Source organism: Homo sapiens, chromosome 10 (genome assembly GCF_000001405.40).
Source record: "Homo sapiens chromosome 10, GRCh38.p14 Primary Assembly".
In the NCBI taxonomy this organism is placed as follows: Eukaryota; Metazoa; Chordata; class Mammalia; order Primates; family Hominidae; genus Homo; species Homo sapiens.
In genome coordinates, this window is record NC_000010.11 from 86,215,461 (window position 1) to 86,234,136 (window position 18,676).

Consider the following 18,676-nt stretch of genomic DNA (forward strand, 5'->3'; position numbering starts at 1 on the left):
AGCTCTCCAGCTCCTCATTAATGACTTTTACTGCTCCGCCAATGAAACGTTAGGCTCCCCAGCCAGGATTCACATGGAAGCCTACACTGTGAAAGTTAAATCAGGACAGTGATGAGTCCTGGGCATGCCTGCAGGGAGCGTCTTGGAGAACCTCGAAAGCAACTGAGCAATGGGGCTTCCTGAAGCACTCCCAGGAACCCAAGCCCAGACAGCTCCTCCTGGGCTCCTCCTCAGCCCCAGGCCAGCCCACAAGATGTCACCTCCTCACTCTGCCTTTGAATGTCTGTATTCCTCCCCTATCAGCCAACTGGTCTCCCTGCCTCCCAGCCCTTCTTTCTCCAACCCACTCTACAGACCAAAGTCAGTGACAAGCACGCCCTTGAAATATTAGCCATGCTCCCCACTGCAAGTGATCAAAGTCCAGTTTGTGAGATCCTCCACCGCTCCCCAGCTCCACACATCACAATGGCACCAGTGTACTTGCCAACCTTCACGTGCCCCATGCTCTCTACATGTAGACATGCCCATTCTAATCTCTATCTTTGCACGTGCTGATTCCCTTTTCCTGAAATGCTCTTCCTCCCCTACTTTGCCTTTCACACTTCCACTCACTCCCGAAAATCCACCTCAAATGCCTCTTGCTCTTTGGCATTATTTGACTTTTCCCCTGCTAGGCAAAGTTAACCATTCCTTTTCCTGCATGTCCAGGAATACTTTATCCTAGCACACTTCTATTGCATATATATCATATTATCTCATGCTTAATCCCTAAGGTCACAAGAGGAGGAGCTGAGGCTCATGGCTTTGTGTATCTTCAGGGTCAGGGCCTGAAGCAGAGATATTCAGAAGATATGGAACAATTGAATGAGCTGAGTGAAAGCACAGAAACATCCATACTAGGGAAATCATTTGAAATATCAGTGTTTCAAGGTAAACGAGTAAGTCAGAGAATCAATGGGATGGAACTTATGTTAGGAATGAGGCAATGGAAAATTCTGTCTTGTCCAAGACTAGAGTTAGCCTTCAGCGCACAATGAGAAAAGATCTTGGAATATGGGGCCTCCTAGACTTGGTTCAGAATCCAGTCCCTGCATGAATGAGTCAAGAGTCCTGGGCAATTCACTTTATCTAATTCTGCCCAAGAAGGAGGGAGTGGTTCGGGGTCAGAAAAGGACAACGAGAAGCTTGGGAGAAAGCAACGGTGCTGTCCTGGGGCTGGCAAAGGAAGGGAGAGACAAGCAGCCAGATGTGAGAACCCTTGGTTCCATGGGGCCCCAGGCAGGACAACTCAGGTCCCAAGACTATGAAGCACAGCTGGCTCAGAGAGGGTGGAGACTTGGGCAGCACAGGGAGCTCTCTGAGGAGCTCGGCTATGCCCAGGACATAGACTAAGGGGGAAAGAAAGGGACAGGTGTGGCCACATCCAGGGAAGGCTGGGGCCAGAAAAGGATCCCTAGGGTAACCAAGAAGGTGCTTCCAGCTCTGTTTAGAAAAAGGCTGAAAAAGAGGATAAGGTTATGGCAGTGCTCAGGGTGGGGCAAGGACATGCCTTCTGCTGCAGACAAGTGGGAGAGGAGGAAGGGAGCTGTGCCAGGGCCCCCTCAACTAATCACTGAACCGCATGGCCTCCCTGGGAAGTGGGTACTACTACCCCATTCTAGACAGGAGGAACAGGAGCAGAGATCCTAGGTTACAGCATTGCCTAAAATCACAGGGGAGCCTGGGTTCAAACCCTGAGCTGTCTCTGATCTCAAAGTTAAGAGACCAGCCCAGGAGACAGTCAGGCCACTGTGGTAGCTGTGTGCCCTCAGGCAAGCCACTTAACCTCCCTGAGCCTCTATCCCTCACCTGTAAATGGATAATAACAGTCCCACCTCCTAGGGCTGACATGAGAATTAAATGAACTAATTCATGTAAAAAGTTTAGAATAACGTTTGTTACATAGTAAGTGTTCAAAAAAGGATCAACTTCTGTTGTTATTCACAGCCCTCTCATATGGGATCCTGTTTTTAGAGACTCGGCCAAGTAGAGAGTGGAGGAGCTTGGGGCCAATTCCTTCATTCAGTCTGGGCGGGCAGAGGTAGTCTCAGCACTGTTGAGCAGAAAAGCTCTTGGCCAGACACCAATCATGGCCTGGCCCTAGGAAAGAGGCAGCCGGCTTCCCAGAAATTCCACATGCCTGCGGGTTTGGTGCTCCTGTAAGCAACACCTCGTAAGCAACACCTCTCCAGAAGTCACTGGGCCATGGGAACAGAGAATGTCCACTGCACCCTAAAACAGGCTCAGGGAGGGAGCTACACGGTGGTCTCTCCTCCTGCTGGCCTTTGGGCCAGCTGGTCTCCTGGTAACAGACCACTGAGAAGCCCATGAAGGCCAGGTCTGAGGAACCGGAGCCTGCAGTTAGACTCCTATGGACAGGCCACACCACAGAGCCTGCCTCAGCCCTCCCTGCAGCCCCGGGCCACCGGGCCTGATCCTGTGTCCAATTCTCCCCTACCCCACCTGCATTTGTCTCCTGAAAGACAAGAACATCCAGACAGCAGGCTCCAGCATCCCTCCCAGATGGAGAACTGAGGCTCTGTGAGGTTTCTGGCTCTCCCTCTTCATCTCAACCTATGTCTGACTTTTGTTTTTAGCTTTCTCTGGCTCTCTCATTCTCCTTATCATTACTTCTGACTTTCTGAGTCTTGGTCCTGTGTGTGTGTGCTTGTGCGCGTGTGTGTGTGAGTTCATGCACGCACCAGCAAAGGTATATGCAGGTGTATGGGTGGAAATTACTCCCCCCACCGCAGCCTATGTCCTGCCTCCCTGGTAGGGCTGACTGCTCCAAAGCTCCTGTCTGTGCCAAGGCTCTCATCTCCACCCTGCATTTGGAAGCTGACCAGGATGCCCCCTGCTAGGCCCTCAGCTGTCTAGTCTCTCCCACCCCAGGTGATTCATGCAGCAGGAGCAAAACTCACTCCTTGGCCAGCAGCCCTTCTAGGAAAGGTTGGAGTGGCCCACCCTGCCAGCCTAACCAGCCCCAAGCCCCAGCTCCAAGGCCTTGCACTAATCCTGCAGCATAGCCAGCAGACTTCCCAGGGCAACCTCCAGGCTTCAGGATATAGCGCAGGGTCTGGAGGCTATGCTGTGTCCTCATCTCTGCACCTGCTGTTCCCCTGCCAGAAGCTCACTGTCACCTGTTGGCCCCTATCTACCTGGTGAATCCTTCTCATCTACCCAGACAAGTGCCTCCTCCTCTCCAGGGACCTTCTTGTTTACCCACAATCAGGACAACACAGGCCCTTCCTCTGATGTCACTTTCTGCTTTATATGTGATTGCAGCTCAGTGTCATTGACTGCTCCTTGGTCCCTGTCACCACCTGCACTGAGCACCCTCAGGACTTGTGTCTCCCTAGCACCCCGCATGGAGTGGGACCCCCAGCTCTGGATGCCTTGGAGCAGCAGGCAGCAACAGGACAATGCGGGATGTACATCATCCTGGCCTGGCCCTGGTCCACCCACTATCGACAGCACAGCCCGAGACAGCTGTGCTCACCAGGCAAACCATAGGCAATGGCAGCCAGTCATCACCCTGTGGGTCTGTCTCTGGGGTAAAAGTCACAGGGATGCCCACACCCACCTCACTCCCTCTACAACTGCCTGGGCAGTTCAGGTGGGAGTGCATGCAGCCCTCTGTGCCGCTCCCTGGCCTGTCACCTGGTGGGGACCAAGACAGAAGCACTGGCCTGAAGCCTGCCAATGGGCAGGTCTAGCCCATTCCCTCAAGGGGAATGTGCCACCCCTACACCCCCAGCTGCTGGGCTCTTGACCCAGAACCCCCAATCCATCGTCCACCTTTCCTGACTCCATTACCAGGGGACTGTGCCCACCCTCCAGTGTGAGTTCAACGCTGCCAACTGCCCAATGGCCCTTAAACCAGGTATTTGGGCTACAGGTCCCTCTTCAAGGGCCATCCCTCCACAGACGCCGCCCCTCCCTCACTCTGCCCAGCCTAGTTGTTTACCGACCTTGGCTGCCAGCAAGCCCCCAGCATGCCTTGCAGCCAAGCCCAGGGAGATGACCTATGAGGGGCAGCACCCCCGCTCCCCTTCTCCCTGCTCTGCACACTACTCCCCTACAGCCCTGGTCACGTGTGGCCCCCCGTCCCAGAGTGAGGGCAGGAGGGAGAGAGCTGGGGTGAAGCTGGGGAGGTAGTGGGGGTAAATGGAGCGGGTTCCCCCATCCCAGGTCCTTTCTGTTCTTTATATCTTTCTTGTGATTCTTATGTGGCCAAGTGCAAGTGGACTGTTGTCCACATTTACTGGTCAAAATGCTAACTCCAGGGGACTGTGAACAGAATGAGGAAGAGGCAAAGTGACACTACGGAAGCTGAAGGCATCTCTCACAAACTAACTCTGTCCAGCCAGTCCACAGATGCTCCCCCCGGGAGGCAGCCTGGGCTGTGCAAAGAGAATGGACTTGGCAATCACGAAGCCCAGGCCCCAGCCCACCTCTACCACACAGCAGCCCAGAGCCTGGGTTGGTCATGCCTCATGCCTTATTTTGTAAAATGGGGGAAGGGCAGAGAAGAACAAGTCATGGCACCTGCACCACACACAGATGTGAAAATATAGCCACTGGCACAAAATAGATCTTGAATAAGTTCTAAAATGCTAATTCCTCCTCCTCGGGAAGTGTTCATTCATTCATTCATTCATTCATTTACCAATCAAGTGCTAAACACACTCCTTCTTGGCCCCTTTGAAACTAAAAGCCACATTAGTGCAGAGGACGCCGATTGACACAAGAGAAAGGAGGCTCTCCAGAACTCTCAGAGAGAAGGACTGGCCCAGCGGTAAGAGGATAGGTTCTGGCACCGAACTACCCGGACTCGAATCCCTGCTCTGCACCTTACTGCTGTGGGCAAGTCACACCTGCTCCATGCCCTACCCTGAAAACGCGGTTATGATAGTCCTGACCTCATGGAGTAATAATGAGAGTCGAGTTAGTACTGAGGAAGCACTTTGACCAGCACCAGTAAGTACAGGTAACTTACCACCCACTGCAAGAAGAGTGAGAAGAAAGCAGCCTGGCCAGGTTCAAACTCAAAACCAAGCTAGGAGAGTGAGGTCTGGGCTGATGGTCAGACGCCTGGGCATGTCCAAGGCCATCCTCTGCTCATCGGTGCCATCTCTGAGCAGGATGCCCAGGTGCAATTCTGCAGGTGAGGGGTGAGGGGTGCCACACCCAGCCTGTGTCCCACATGCTGCAGGAGCTCTTCTCATTCACCCCAAGTTTTGCATGGGCTTTGCTTTCCAACACCTCATCGCCGTCCTAACAGCCAGCATGACAGCACACAGCCTCTGAAGTTGTTGACATGAGGCCTGTTTTAGAGAATGAGTCAGCCAGGTGTCGGGGGTGCGCCATGCACCCAGCACCAGCATCTGAGGGGACCACCCTGGGGGCAAGGGTCTCTCAAGATGGAAAAGTGGATACAGGTGCTGACTGGCCCCCAAAGCCAGCTTTCTCAGCTTGATCAACCCTGCGCCTCCAGGAGGAGGCAAAGCCATCACGACATAAGCCATGGCCAGCACCTCCCTGGCCATTCAGCCTGGCCCTGCTCCTAATATTTTCTGAGACAGAGCCCAGCTGGCCCTGGGACGTTACCATCTCAGCCCCCAGGTGCTTCAGAGCAGTCGGGGAGAGAAATCGGAAATCTCCTGCAGCCAGCAGGGATGAGAGGGGCTCTTTGCCAGTGATAATGAAAATTTTCACAGTAGCAGATGCTCAGAGAAAATTGAAAAATAATACAACAAAACTCACAAACCAGAGAGGAACTTTAGAGAATCCTGGTTGGTGAGGCTCCATCTTCCCACCAGCACATTTCTAGCCATAATAGACAGATTGGGAGCCACGTTCTCCCAGCAGGTTATCAAATTGCCTCCCGGAAACCCCCCACAAAACTCCTCAAGCACGCCGTGCTGGGAACACAGAACTGAGGCAGATCCCAGCACAGGCCCCAGCAAAGGCTATCTGGAGAGGAAGCCTTTGTGGGCTGTGGGCTGTGGGAGTGGTGGAGGTCCAGCAGGTGGAGTGGGGGTGGACAGTCATGTAGCCTGGGGTGTCAAGGGGGCTTCACAGAGGACAGCAGCTGATGCTGGGGCAGAGAAAGAGGACAACCCAGGCCAGTGGCTGCTGTGAGCCAAGGCCCAGCACCCTCCAGGAATGGCCCGCTCACACTGGGGTGAGAGGTTGGGTGACGGCTGTTAGGAGGAAAGGGAGGGTGGAGTCCCCAGAAGTCTTTGGATGATCAGCTGAGGGGCTTTGTTTTGATCCCAGGAGCAGCAGGGAGCCTTGAAGGCAGGACCTGCTCAGAGCTTGCTTCTGGGAAAGTGGCCACAGGGAGGATGCAGCCAGAGGGCTGGAGGTGGAAGCCCCCTCCCCCTCCTCCTCCTTCTCCTCCTCCTCCTCCTCCTCACCCGGAAGGAACAGGGGTAGGGAGGGCAGGGGGTGGGAGGCAGCAGGAACAGCATCAGGGCCATCACAGAAACAGGGGACAGAGCCAGCTAAAGCATGGGGGGAAGAAGGGGACAGGCCAAGGACAGACACCAAACCCCAAGAACCCTGAAGCTGGCAGGACTAGGGAAGGGCACCTACCACGCGGTGGTCCCCGAGGGTCCTGCATGCCATCTCATGGCATCCTCCCAGGCCTAGAGGGGGGGCCACCCATTTGCAGAGGGGGCACCTGAAGCTTGGCGATGTGAGCCCTCTTGCCAGGTATGATCCACTGCATGGCTAGTGGGGAGTGAGCTAGGACAAGAACTCAGGGCTTCCAAGGGGCACACTCTGCCCACCCCAAGCCTGGGCTTCCAGGTGCCTCCCAGCCCAGGGGGAGGGCGTGGTCAGTCCTTCAGCCTCCAGTCAGCACCTTAGCTGCCCTCAGAGCCTTGAGGGACTCGGTGCCATCTGAGTGCCCAGGGAAGGGGTGGTGGGAGCAGTGGGTCAGGTGGGGAGGAAAAGCGGGGCCTTCACCCCACTCTGTCCTGAAGAAGCCCCATAGAAACCATGCATGTTGCAGGCCAGGCTGAGCTTAGGGGCCACCCAGCAGCTGGGGAGCAGGCCTGTTCACTGAAAAATGGAGGGGCCTCTGAAAGACGCACCCCAGGAGAGGCAGCCTGGCAACCCAGGGCAGTGGAGCTGTAGGAGCCCCTAAGTGCCAGGGCCAGCCACTGGGACAGATCAGATCCAAGACCTCTGAAGGGGAGAAGGGGTGTAAGCATGGGCAAAACTGCATTATGCCATTCCCCAAGTTGGAGTGGACACAAGTCACAGAGCCCGAGCACTTCCCTGGAGCCCAGCTGAAGGGGGGCAGGGCACCCCCTTCCTCACCACAACACCAAGCCACAAGGGCACTAGGGCCACAGTCAGGCAAGGGCTAGGAGTGTCAGGTGCACACCCAAAACAGCACCGTCACCCCCTGGGGGGACATGCGAGACTGCATCCCCCCCTCCACAGCAAGCTCAGCTGGGGTCATAGGGTCCCCACCCCACTGTGAACTATGAGCTCCTGCTGGCTGGGAGAGAAGCCTGGGCATGTATGCTCCCATGCCACTGACCTGCTTCTGGGGAGCACTATGGTATACCAAACCAAGGCAGAGGGGCTCTGAGAATCCCCCCAAAATACCACATACTGCTCATTGCTCTCTGCATTCCCTAAGGGCCTTTTTCTGCAGGGAAAGTGGCTGAGAGCGGGATGGCTAGGTCTGGAGGGCACAGTAGGTTGCTCTGGTGCTCAGCTCCAGCCCTGCCCTGCGCATGGAAGATGGTGCTCCCTTTCTCCACCCCCTGCCCAGACACCTTCCCTGGAAAGAGACAAAGAGATGACAGGCAGAAGGACACAGCTGCCAGGACACACACCAGAGAAGGAACAGGAAGCTGCGGAGCTGTGGCTGGGGGCTCGGCCCCTCCAAATGCCCTGCCTGGCACGCATGCAGGCACACCACCCACAGGCACATGGCCCCCAGCACATGCACACATGGCTGCTCTGTGCTGAGGAGGCATTCCCATGATGGTGCAGGGAGCTTTCCCAGTCACACCCAAGGCCACTGAACCTCTCAGGAGATTTGGAGGGATGATTCCAGGCAGTTCTGGAGGTATGGGGAGGGGCTCTGAGGCCTACCTCTGCACTGTCTCCAACAAGGGCAGCTCAGCTCAGGCTTTGAGGCAGGGGCACTCCCTCCCTCAAGCCCATGGGAGTGGGCAATCCCCAGCCCAGCTTGGGTCGGCTTTCCAAGAAGTGACTGAGGTAGCACAGACAGCAAGTGACAACTGCATGCTGTGTCTATCACAGACGAAGGACCAGCAGGTGATAGACCAGGGACCAGCAAGTGATAGACCAAGGACCAGCAGATGACAGACGAGGGACCAGCAAGTGATGGACCAAGGACCAGCAGGTGATAGACCAGGGACCAGCAAGTGATAGACCAAGGACCAGCAGATGATAGACCAAGGACCAGCAGGTGATAGGCTAAGGACCAGCAGGTGATAAACCAAAGACCAGAAGATGACAGACCAAGGACCAGCAGGTGATACACTGATATTCCAAGTCACATGAAAGAAGGAAAACCTTCCTGGGATGCCAGGCACATGTTCCCTCCAACTGTACTCCGGTTTCACCCCCTCCAACCTCTTGAACTCCCGGAATCCCCACCCTCCCAAGCTCCCACCCCCGACACTCCCAGCATACACAGATGCACACACCTATTTTCTGCATCTGCTTAAGTCACAACAGCATTGGTTGAAGGAAAGTGTGCTGACTGGCTAAGTGAGCCCAAGTGTCCACACCTACCCAGGCAGAGCCTTACCAGAGAGGGGTAAGCCTCCTCCTCCCCCAGTACATTCTTGAAAGGTGGCCCACACTCCATTCAGCTCATGAGAAAAGAGACCAACCCAAGGCTCCTGGGCTTGGGAGTCCCCAGAGGAGAACACAAGGAGTCCCAGGCATGAGGATGCTGCCACCCACTGCCCTGCCACAGCTGGATCCATGGCTGCTTCTGCTCTGACAGGTTCTCATGGGGACTGGGCAGGATGGGATGTGGGGAGCACAAAAATAGGGGAGACGCACTCTACTCTCAAAGACCCCAGCCCAGATGGCAGCTGTCCTGCACCTCCATCAACCCGTAGGGGCTCTAGGAAGCTAAAGGAAGGTGTAAGCTGAGGAGACAGCCAGCTGCTATCCTTAGTGCACCCAGGTTTCACCTCCCTCTACGCAGCCATCCAGAGCACTGGCCACTAAAATAAGCTCAGCCATTGTCACACCAACCACCAAGCCCATGGCTCTCTGTCCCTTCCTCCTCACCCTTCAAAGTTCAATTCAAGTGCCCCTTCCCCCAGGAAGCCCTTGAGATTTTCCCACCCTCGCAACATCCAGAGCTCAGCTCAGCCGGGGCATTATCACTCTGAATCATCACCCTCTGCCTCCACCACCAGGCTGTGAGCTGTTGGAATTTAGGAACCGTGTTGAGGCCACTTCAGGGTCCCCAAGGCACAGGTGCCGGAGGAATGTTTACTGAAGGAGTGAATGAAACTATTGCATTAGATCAAGCCCAGGTGCAGAGGACTGGTTTCACATAGAAAGCATCGATTTTGCCCTACAGAACCCTGACTCCAGTTTTCCAGCAGACAACCCTGGTGTGAAGACAGAGGGGCGGGGAGGAAGGTAGGGGCTGACATTTCCCAGCCCCTCCCAGGCCGGTGGGGAGCTGAATAGCTCAGTGACTTGTCCAGGAGCCCGAGGTAAACCACAGACTAAGAGCCAAGAGTCATGATTCACTACTTGCATTTCTCCAGCCATGACACCAGCAAAGGAAACTGCCCAGGATGAGCTCAGCACTTTTTTGCCTTAAATGGTTGAGTGTTTTTTAAAAGGATATAACACCAAGGGAAGCAGTACTCAAGGCTGAGAATTACGAATATTTATAGCGTTTAAGCATAATCGTATTCAGATGAGGACTATATATTGCTCACGGCAATTTGCACTCTTCTCAAAGCGTGTATTTCTGCAGGGAAGGAGGCCCAGTGGCTGGATGTCGGCCTGGAGACAGCAGGGTCCAGAAGGTACAGGAGAGCTGCTAGCGTCCCAGCTCCAGCCCCACCTAGACATGAAAGACAGCATCTGCCAGACACCCTGCCCTGGAGGGGGACCAAGAAGGCCCATGGGCCTCAAGTTGTTGGGGAGAGGAGCAGAAAGAACTGCTAAGGACCAGCTCAGAAACTTAGAGGTCCCCCAGCTCTTTGGGTGACAGGACCCTTTTATAAAGTTCAAAACTGGCTCCTACATGAGGTAGCTGTACTTTAGTACCTGCTGCTGGAGAGCACTCATTGTGACCTCAAGCCAATGTGCCCTCAGCAAATGAACCTGCATGTTATTACAGCAACCATGACATCACGGCCGTGTGTGAGCATCAGGTCACCATCAAGGCTGCAGGCATTCGTGGGGTCTTTTCTACAGAGCTGGGGGCCTCATGGGGACCCACTCATTGGGGCTTTGGAATTCCACAGGCCCGATTCAATTAATAGTCACCTAATGAAGGTGACAAGACCCTGCAGGTGGACAGGTAGGCTGATGGGGCAAAGGACAGAGGCATGAGAAGCAAGAAGAGCGTAAGAACGAAAGGGAAGAAGGACATCCCGGAAGACCTCAGAGCCACGTCTCTGGACAGGGGACCTGCCTGTTTCCCGCACAGACCTACTGGGGATCCTACCCACCCACCCCTGGCCGTCACACGTCATACGCCTCACTCATATATGCAAAGCTATTGAAAAGCCACCTCCCTGAGCTGACACCCCATGAAGCAGTGGTCAGAGCCCACCCCAGCACACCCTCCCACCCCAGCATACCCTCCCACCCCAGCATACCCTCCCACCCCAGCACACCCTCACTCCCACCCCAGCACACCCTCCCACCCCAGCACACCCTCCCACCCCAGCATACCCTCCCACCCCAGCATACCCTCCCACCCCAGCACACCCTCCCACCCCAGCATACCCTCCCACCCCAGCACACCCTCCCGCCCCAGCACACCCTCACTCCCACCCCAGCACACCCTCCCACCCCAGCACACCCTCACTCCCACCCCAGCACACCCTCACTCCCACCCCAGCACACCCTCACTCCCACCCCAGCATACCCTCCCACCCCAGCATACCCTCCCACCTTCAGTTTTCCCATTGGAGTGGGGTGTTGGCAGCAACAGGAGTCACCTTGGACAAGTGCCCCAAGTCCCAGCCCGGCCTCCTCACCCACTCCCTCCAGAAGCAGCAGTCCCAGCAGAGAGGCAGCCAGGCCTCCCCTCACCCGCAGCCCCCTAAACCAGCTGGCGGTCCTCCCTGAGCTCAGCCAGCTTGCACACACTAACTAGGAAATGGAACTGCCAAAGGCCACCTGGAGACAACTGCAGGGAATTACCAGGCCTCAGCCTTGCTGCTTTTCCTGATTTGGTGCTGCATGCCCTGCTGGCACAGGCCTCCTGCCCTGCAGTTTATCCTTCACTACATTATCAAGCATCTACCAGAGGAGCCACCCTGAGCTGTGCGCCTGCAGCTGGTGGAAAGGGGAAGCCTCCAAAGCCACAGAGTCAAGAAAGGGAGCCTCCCTCTGATATGGGCCTGGGTGAAGCCACCTGCTCTACCAGGGCAGCTTCCCAGTGGGGAAGAGGCTTGAGAGGAGGGACTGAGCCTGGGGAAAGGAGAAGCCTGGAAAGGTGGAGTTGAGAAAAGGAAGACGAAAGACAATGGCAACTGGGGCCGCCCCTCCCCTCAAAGGGGCCCTTCTGGGGTGTATGGTGGGTCATAGGCACTGAGGTGGCCCATGAGACCAGCATTAAGGCAGGGGTGGTGGAGAGCTCATAGTACTCCCTAAGAACTTGCTCATAGTAGTGGGGGGCTGCAGCCCCAGCACCAAGGCAGGAGCTCCTGGTCTTTTCATTTTCCTGCCTCCAGCCTTGCCTCTTGGGCTAACTGCTCACAGGAGCAATCTTCCTAAAACCCACACCTGCTTAAGACTCTCAAAGACTCCCATTCTCACAGAACTAGCAGCCAGAGACCCAGCCCCAAGACCCTCATGAGCTCAGCCAGCCCAGTTCCCCAGTCCCTTCCCAATACCTGCTCCCACCCCATTCCTTACTCTGCTGTCCTTCCTCACACGTCTGAGCCCCAGCCCATGCCAGCCCTCTGCCTGGAGGATGCTCGGCCCAGCTCCCACCTGTGAAGTCCCTGCTTGGTCCTCAGCATGGCTCCCCTCCCAAGGTGAGCTCCTGTGGTGGCCATCCTCCCTCCATCATGGGTGCTCCATGCACCGTTCCCACCACTAGACTGTGAGCCACTGCAGGACCTAGGCCATGCCTCATCTGTGCTTAGCCCCAGGCCCTGCATGGTGCCTGACACATGGTAGATACATAGTAAACACTGAGGAAAATGCTGAATGATGGCCACAAAAGAACAGACAGATGGGTAGGTAGATGGGTGGGCAGACTGATGGGTGAATGGATAGATCAACAGATGGGTGGATGGAAGGATAGTTGGATGGATGGAAGGAAAGATGGTTGAATGCGTGGATGGATGGGGGACCGGGTTGGGGTGGATGGATGTGAGGTGAGTGGGTGAGTAGGTGGGTGGATGAATATGTAGGTGGTTGGGTGAGTAGGTGGGTGGATGGATGTGTAGGTGGTTGGTTGAGTAGGTGGGTGGATGGATGTGTAGGTGGGTGGGTGAGTAGGTGGCCGGATGGATGTGTACATGGGTGGATGGAGGGGTGGGGGAGAGGATGGTGTGGTGAGGAGTGAATGGGGGTGGCTTGGTGCATGGGAGGGGGTGGGTGGGGTGAATGGGAGAGGAAACGTAGACAATCAGAGGAAGTCTGACCTTGCTCTGGCCTTGGTCCCCCATCCTCACTCCACACCACCCAACCACAAAGGCACTTAGAAGGATTAAGCCTCCTTGATACAATTGGAGCAGCTGGAAATAGCTTTGCGCAGCCTGCAGCCGCTGCCTTCCAGCAATCAGCCTCAATCAACACCCACCTGGCCCTGCTGCCAGTTAATTCCACCTGACACCCTGGCCAGGCATCCCAGAGCTGCCAGGTGTTGGCCCCGTATGAGGGATGGCAGGAGATGGGCCTACTCCACCAAGGCCAGCAGAAAAATCACTCTCCTGGACCCCCCAGTACCCAATGAGAACAACAGTGTCCCAGGAGCTCCAGCCCACAGCAGAGCTTGGAGACACCAAGAGACACCCACACACACACATTCAGGGAGCTGGGTCACCCCTCAGGAAGTGGATGTGTGGGTTCCCTCCTGGCCCGGCCACTCTTTTATACTCACTTGGCAACCAGTTCATTGCTCTAAAGAGCTGGGACCCCAGGAGGGACCCCTAAGGGCATCTTGCATTGGTCTCTTCAACACCAAAGAGGCAACAGCAGAGACTGAGGGAGAGAAGTGTGACCCCTCTAAATGCTCCACTTGCTCAGAGGCACCCTGAACAAGGGTGTGGGTGTGGAGGCAGTGGGTACTCACAGTAGGGAGGGGCTGCCTTGGTCCAGAGTGGGGCTCCGTGCCCTCCGAATAGGGACTGCTTGTAGCTGGGGGAGGGTCCCCACATGATCTCCTTTGGGCCTTCTACTTTGTGAACCCTGACTCAGCCCCATTCCCTCAATCTCTCTAGCCATGTGCCTCTGTGCCTCCCATGGGAACCTCAGTGCTTCAGCCTAAGCCAGGCCACCCCACTCTCTAGCAAGTGCCTGGGGCCAGCACTGCCAGTCCCCCTCCTCCCAGGGCAGAGGAGCAGCTAAGGCACCTGCTGGGGCCTGAGGCCACCAAAACACCAGGCAGCACTGCAAGCAGAGTGTGGGGTTCAGAGTAAGGATGAAGAAGCCAGGCTGCCAAGGTTAAAGCCACTTAACTCTGTGACCTTGGGCAAGACACCTAACTTCTCTGTGCCTAATTTCCTCATTGGCAAAACGGGCTAATAATAGCCCCGCCTCACAGGCTGAGTGAGTAAATGGTGTAAATTGCTGAGAGCCGAGCCTGACTCACAGGGCACCCTCTATGAGTTTCAGCTATTCTCATGATCTGGGGGTGGCAGTGGGTGCACTTCTGGGAGTACACAGGCCCCAGTCATTCCAGGGACCCCAGAAGCTTCATTCTTAAGCAGGTTTGTCATAGCCCAGCACTGCCTGGAGTTCAACTCATCTGGCTTCAACCCTTCTGATGGCGTGGCCAGGGCAGACAGCCGGGCGTGCGGGCCAGCCAAGTCCACCTACCCATACCTGGCATCTGCTGTAGCCTCCTCCACAACCTCCCCCACTTCACTAAGTCCTGCCCAGACACCTCTCCTTCAGATGACCTGCCCTGAACCCCAGGCTAGGCTATGTCCTCTGTAAGACACCACCACACATAGAGTCCTGTCCTCAGGCAGTCACTCCACCATATGGCCACACCTGTCTGCCTCACCTTGGGATCCCCAGAGCCTGGCCCAGAGCAGGCCCTGAGGGTGCTTGTTGACTCAACATGGGACCATTGGTAAGTGAAGGAGTAACAGCCTCCAGGTATCCCCAGCCCCTGCATCCTGCTCCTGGTAGCAGCAGCTCCTCCTCCCGGCCTTAGCCCTCCTGCCTATGGTGACCAGCCAGCCTCAAGCAGCCCACCACGAGCCCAACTTGCCCCTGCCTCCTAAACCTGGCTTCAGGCCCTGCCTGACCTCACCCTACAGTCCCGCCCCATCCCAGAACCACCACCCACCCTACCCCAACCCAGACTGGGCAATCATATCAAGAACTACGGAGGAGAGAGGCCACCACAGGTCTCCACTTCTCTGGTCACACAGTTGCCTGGGGGAGTTTCTATCACAGATGAGGAAATGAGTCTCCAGTGGGGACAACACCACCAGGAACTCCTGTGCCACATTTGGCTTCCCTCGGAGCTGGAAGTCTCACCCCTCCCAGAAGCCACTCAGTGACAATGCACAACCAAAGGACAGCAGACAGAGCTCAAACGGCTTCTCCTGATCAGCTCTGGAGAGGCCATCATCAGCACTAAACCTGGCTGAGCATTGAGCCTGGAGCGAGGAAACATGCATTTCTTTCTGTCTCCACACCTGAACTTCCCACTGTTCCCTGAACACATGTCACCTTTCAACATTTTGTACTTTTGCATACCCTGTTTCCTCTATGTGCATAAGTCTCCTCTGACCACTATAAATTCCTACTCATACTTCAAGAGTTTGCTCAGTTGTCACCTCCTCCACGAAGACTCCCCTGATTTCTCCCAGATCTCTCCTCTGTGTTGCCAGAGCTGTCTCCCCCTCTGGTCTGTGAGCGCCTCCAAGCAGGATCATGTCCAACCCATCTATCCATCTCCCACCCAGGGCTGGCAGATGGGCTCCCTCCATGGATGGTGACATGAGTAATACACACACATCTCTGTGCCCGGCGGTGTGGGCAGTGACAGGCCCAAGTGGCCACACTTCTACCCAAGCTGCAATCCCTGGTTCCATGAGACTTTCCCGAGGACCAGGCCTCTCAGCACTGGGCTGTTTCCAAGGTCTCTAAGCACAACTCTGGCTCCAGCAAACCCAAACATCTGTGGTGGTGGCCAGGGACGGAGGGAGAACTGCCTGCCCAGCTAGGCTTCCAGAAGGGGCCTGTGATACACATTTTGCAAATGGCAGGAGACATGCATGTCAGAAAATTGTCCACAATCAATTTCAAATTCCAAGCGGAAATGGTTGGTTTGCTGCTAATCTGCTGGAAATCTGAAGATAGTGTCTCCCAGGAGGGAGGCAGGGGGCCCGGGCTGGTTCCTGGGAGGTCAGAAATGCCCTCTTGACCCCCACCATCTCTGCACACTCAGGGCACAGCCATCTGCCTGGGAAGCAGGGCCAAGTCATTCTGCACTCCGGACAGAGGCTCTGGCTCTAATGGCCCCTGATCCAGCAGGCCACAGGTAACCCTATTCCAGACCCCCTAAGTGAACCCTTGTGCCCTGAGCCAGGGCATGCTGAACCAGGCAGGCCCATGGCCCTACTGTCAACCATTCTCTCTCTCCACAAGTATTCAAGCAATGAGACAGCAAAAGCTTTGGATGAAGAGCACAGTCGGGGTCATGTTATCTCTGTAGGCCTCAGCTTTCCCATTTGATAAATGGGAAGAATAACCTGTCCAAGTGTGTCTCCAAAGGGTATTTGCTACCACAAAAGGAAGCAGAGTGAGCAGCTATTATTAACCACCACAGGAGTCATTAGACAGCTGACCTCAATCAGCACCTAGTCTGTGCCTCCTATTGTATTTGGAGACGCAGTGTCTTCAGTTACTCATCAGCAAACCTCTTCACAGTAACATGCATTTAACTGTCTGTCTCCCCAAGGAAGCAAGCAGTCCAGGACCTCCATGTGACCATGATTCCCCGAGGCTGGCACACAGAACACACTCAACAAATGCTCATTGGGTGAGGGATGGGGTGAGGGTTGCTCCTATACTGCAAACCCTCCCGTGTATCCGCATGGACATTTTTTTTTACCTCCCAGAGACTGGGGTACCCTCTTCTCACTGCACTTGGGTATAAGAGAGGAGAAACAAGGGTAGAGAAGTGGGCCAGGAAGCCCTGAATCCCAGCTTCCCTTTCCCTGTTTTCTCCTCTCTCATCCCTAAGTGCAATGAGAATAGCGCATCCCAATCCCACGAGGAAGAAAACTGGGAGGCCAGGGAGGGCCCCAGGGGAATAACGCAGCCGTTGTATTAGGGAGCCAGGAGAAAAGGCAAGCTGAGCAGCACTGTTCCCGCATGCTCTGGAATGCCGCTCCCGCTCCCTCAGGAACTGATACACTGAGGGTTCTCTGGCTGGCAGTCACTGGGCATCTCTCTGAGCCTCAGTTTTCCAGTCTCTATAATGGGGACAGACTTGATGCAAAGACTCAGTGAGGTTTCACAAGCCCAAGACTGCACTGTGTCAGGTACAGTCAAGGCAGGAGTCGATACAGCCCAGCTGCCTCTCCTGTTGTATTTCCCACCCATCCTGAACCTACCCCCACCACCACCTGGACAGATCAAACTAGACTCCAAAGAGATACTGCGAAGTGACTGGAATAAGAGGAGGGAGAGAGTTTAGTAAAGGGAAGTAGAGAAATCTAGAGTACAAATGCCCATTTTTAAGTTTTTCTCAAAGAATAGGGAATGCTTTAGCAAGGCTCAGGATGAGACTTCCTTTTCAGGGCATTAACAATTTGTATTTTTCACTATCCATCTTCCTTGCAGTCTTTTGCAGGGAGGGAAAGTCTATAAATATTTTTTTTTAAGAAACGACTGCATTTTGATGAACTCAGCTTAGCAAGTGCTTTGCATATGAATGGGACCTGATTAGCTGGCACTCTCCCACAGCAGAGTAGCCTGCAACTTCAAGCTTTCCCAAGAGTTAAAAAGTTGAAGCAGCCACATTTATGTGGCTCCTCTAATAAAAAAATCAGGCATCATTTATTATTAATGCTTGGCTCTGATAAATACCCTCATCTAAAATTCTTCACTTGCAGGAACCCTTCAGGATAATTTCTCAGGATAACCAAAGAGAGTACTTCAGCCAGGCCTTTGCAGGAGAACGGGATGTCTATGGCAGAGGCTGGGGGACAGGATGTGACACCCACTGAAGTGGCCGGCTGGAGCGTTTTAGGGAAAGCTGAACAGTCTCAGCCACCGAGAGAGGGAAAGCCGTCAGCTGCAGAAGGGGCTCTGCCTCTGTTGTGACCACCTCAGCCAGGTTCGGTGCAGCTTCTGAGAAGACTAGCACTCATATTAATTCCCCAGATGAGATGGCTGGGAGCAAGGGGCCAATTTCTATAATCCAGAGGTGTCTGCTAATTGACATCAGTCCTCCCACAAAGCCAGGCTGTGGTGCGGAGGCTGTTCCCTGATGGAGTCGCAGATGCTATTAGTGTCCCAGCCAGGCCCCCTTTACAGATGGACACTCCCATCCCCTCTTGCTCTAAATGTTAGGCAGCTGGGCCTCATAGGTGCCCCCTTCTCCAGCAAACTTCCCTCACCCAGGGGAGCTGCCGGAGGGGATGGCCCACTCCCCACCCTAGGGTAGCTCACAGCCAACATCAGACAGTGGTGGTGGTAGAGGAGGTCACCCCTCCTTCCCTCCAGAGGGAACAACTCTATGTTCCAGAGTCCCTGATCAGGACAGGCTAGACTTACATGATACCACATCCTTCCTTGTCTCTTTTTCCTCTCTAACCTGCTTCCCTCCATAAATCTCAGACACCCAACCCCTGTCCCAGGCTCTGCCTCTAGGGAACGTGACTGGAGACAATTGGGCCCTCCAGATCCACTACTGGGACTCTGGAAGGCTGACTGCTGTGGACGGCATGGCCAAGACTCCCTTGTCCCCAGGTCCCTTGGTGATTTGACCAATGGGAGACACAGGCAGGAAATGAGAGGGTGGAGAGGGGGTGGGGGTGGGGAGGAGGGTGGGTGAGGGTGGGGGTGCTTCTCCCCTGGCTGCCTCCTTGCTGGGTTGACTGTGGCTGCACTACCTGCTCCAGTTGCTGTCCCCTCTCTGTGCCCCTTCAGGACTAGGGACAGGAACACCTCCTGAGGCCACTTCAACATAGCTGGTGCCCTAACTTTGCCCACACTTCTAGGAAAACTC

At 55.2% G+C, this 18,676-nt stretch overlaps 1 protein-coding gene across 1 annotated transcript in view, besides 2 other annotated features; it reads right to left on the minus strand.

The window, feature by feature from the left end:
* Positions 1–18,676, minus strand: part of GRID1 (glutamate ionotropic receptor delta type subunit 1) — a 767,244-nt gene that overhangs the window by 615,909 nt on the left and 132,659 nt on the right. The gene's annotated exons all lie outside the window — the stretch shown is intronic.
* Positions 11,546–12,045: an enhancer, noted in NCBI's record as "H3K4me1 hESC enhancer chr10:87986763-87987262 (GRCh37/hg19 assembly coordinates)". NCBI's record gives its function as "activates a minimal SCP1, AML or CMV promoter by ChIP-STARR-seq in primed H9 embryonic stem cells {active_cell/tissue: H9 hESC(primed)}" and the evidence as "EXISTENCE:reporter gene assay evidence [ECO:0000049][PMID:30033119]".
* Positions 17,780–18,445: an enhancer, noted in NCBI's record as "H3K27ac-H3K4me1 hESC enhancer chr10:87992997-87993662 (GRCh37/hg19 assembly coordinates)". NCBI's record gives its function as "activates a minimal SCP1, AML or CMV promoter by ChIP-STARR-seq in naive H9 embryonic stem cells {active_cell/tissue: H9 hESC(naive)}" and the evidence as "EXISTENCE:reporter gene assay evidence [ECO:0000049][PMID:30033119]".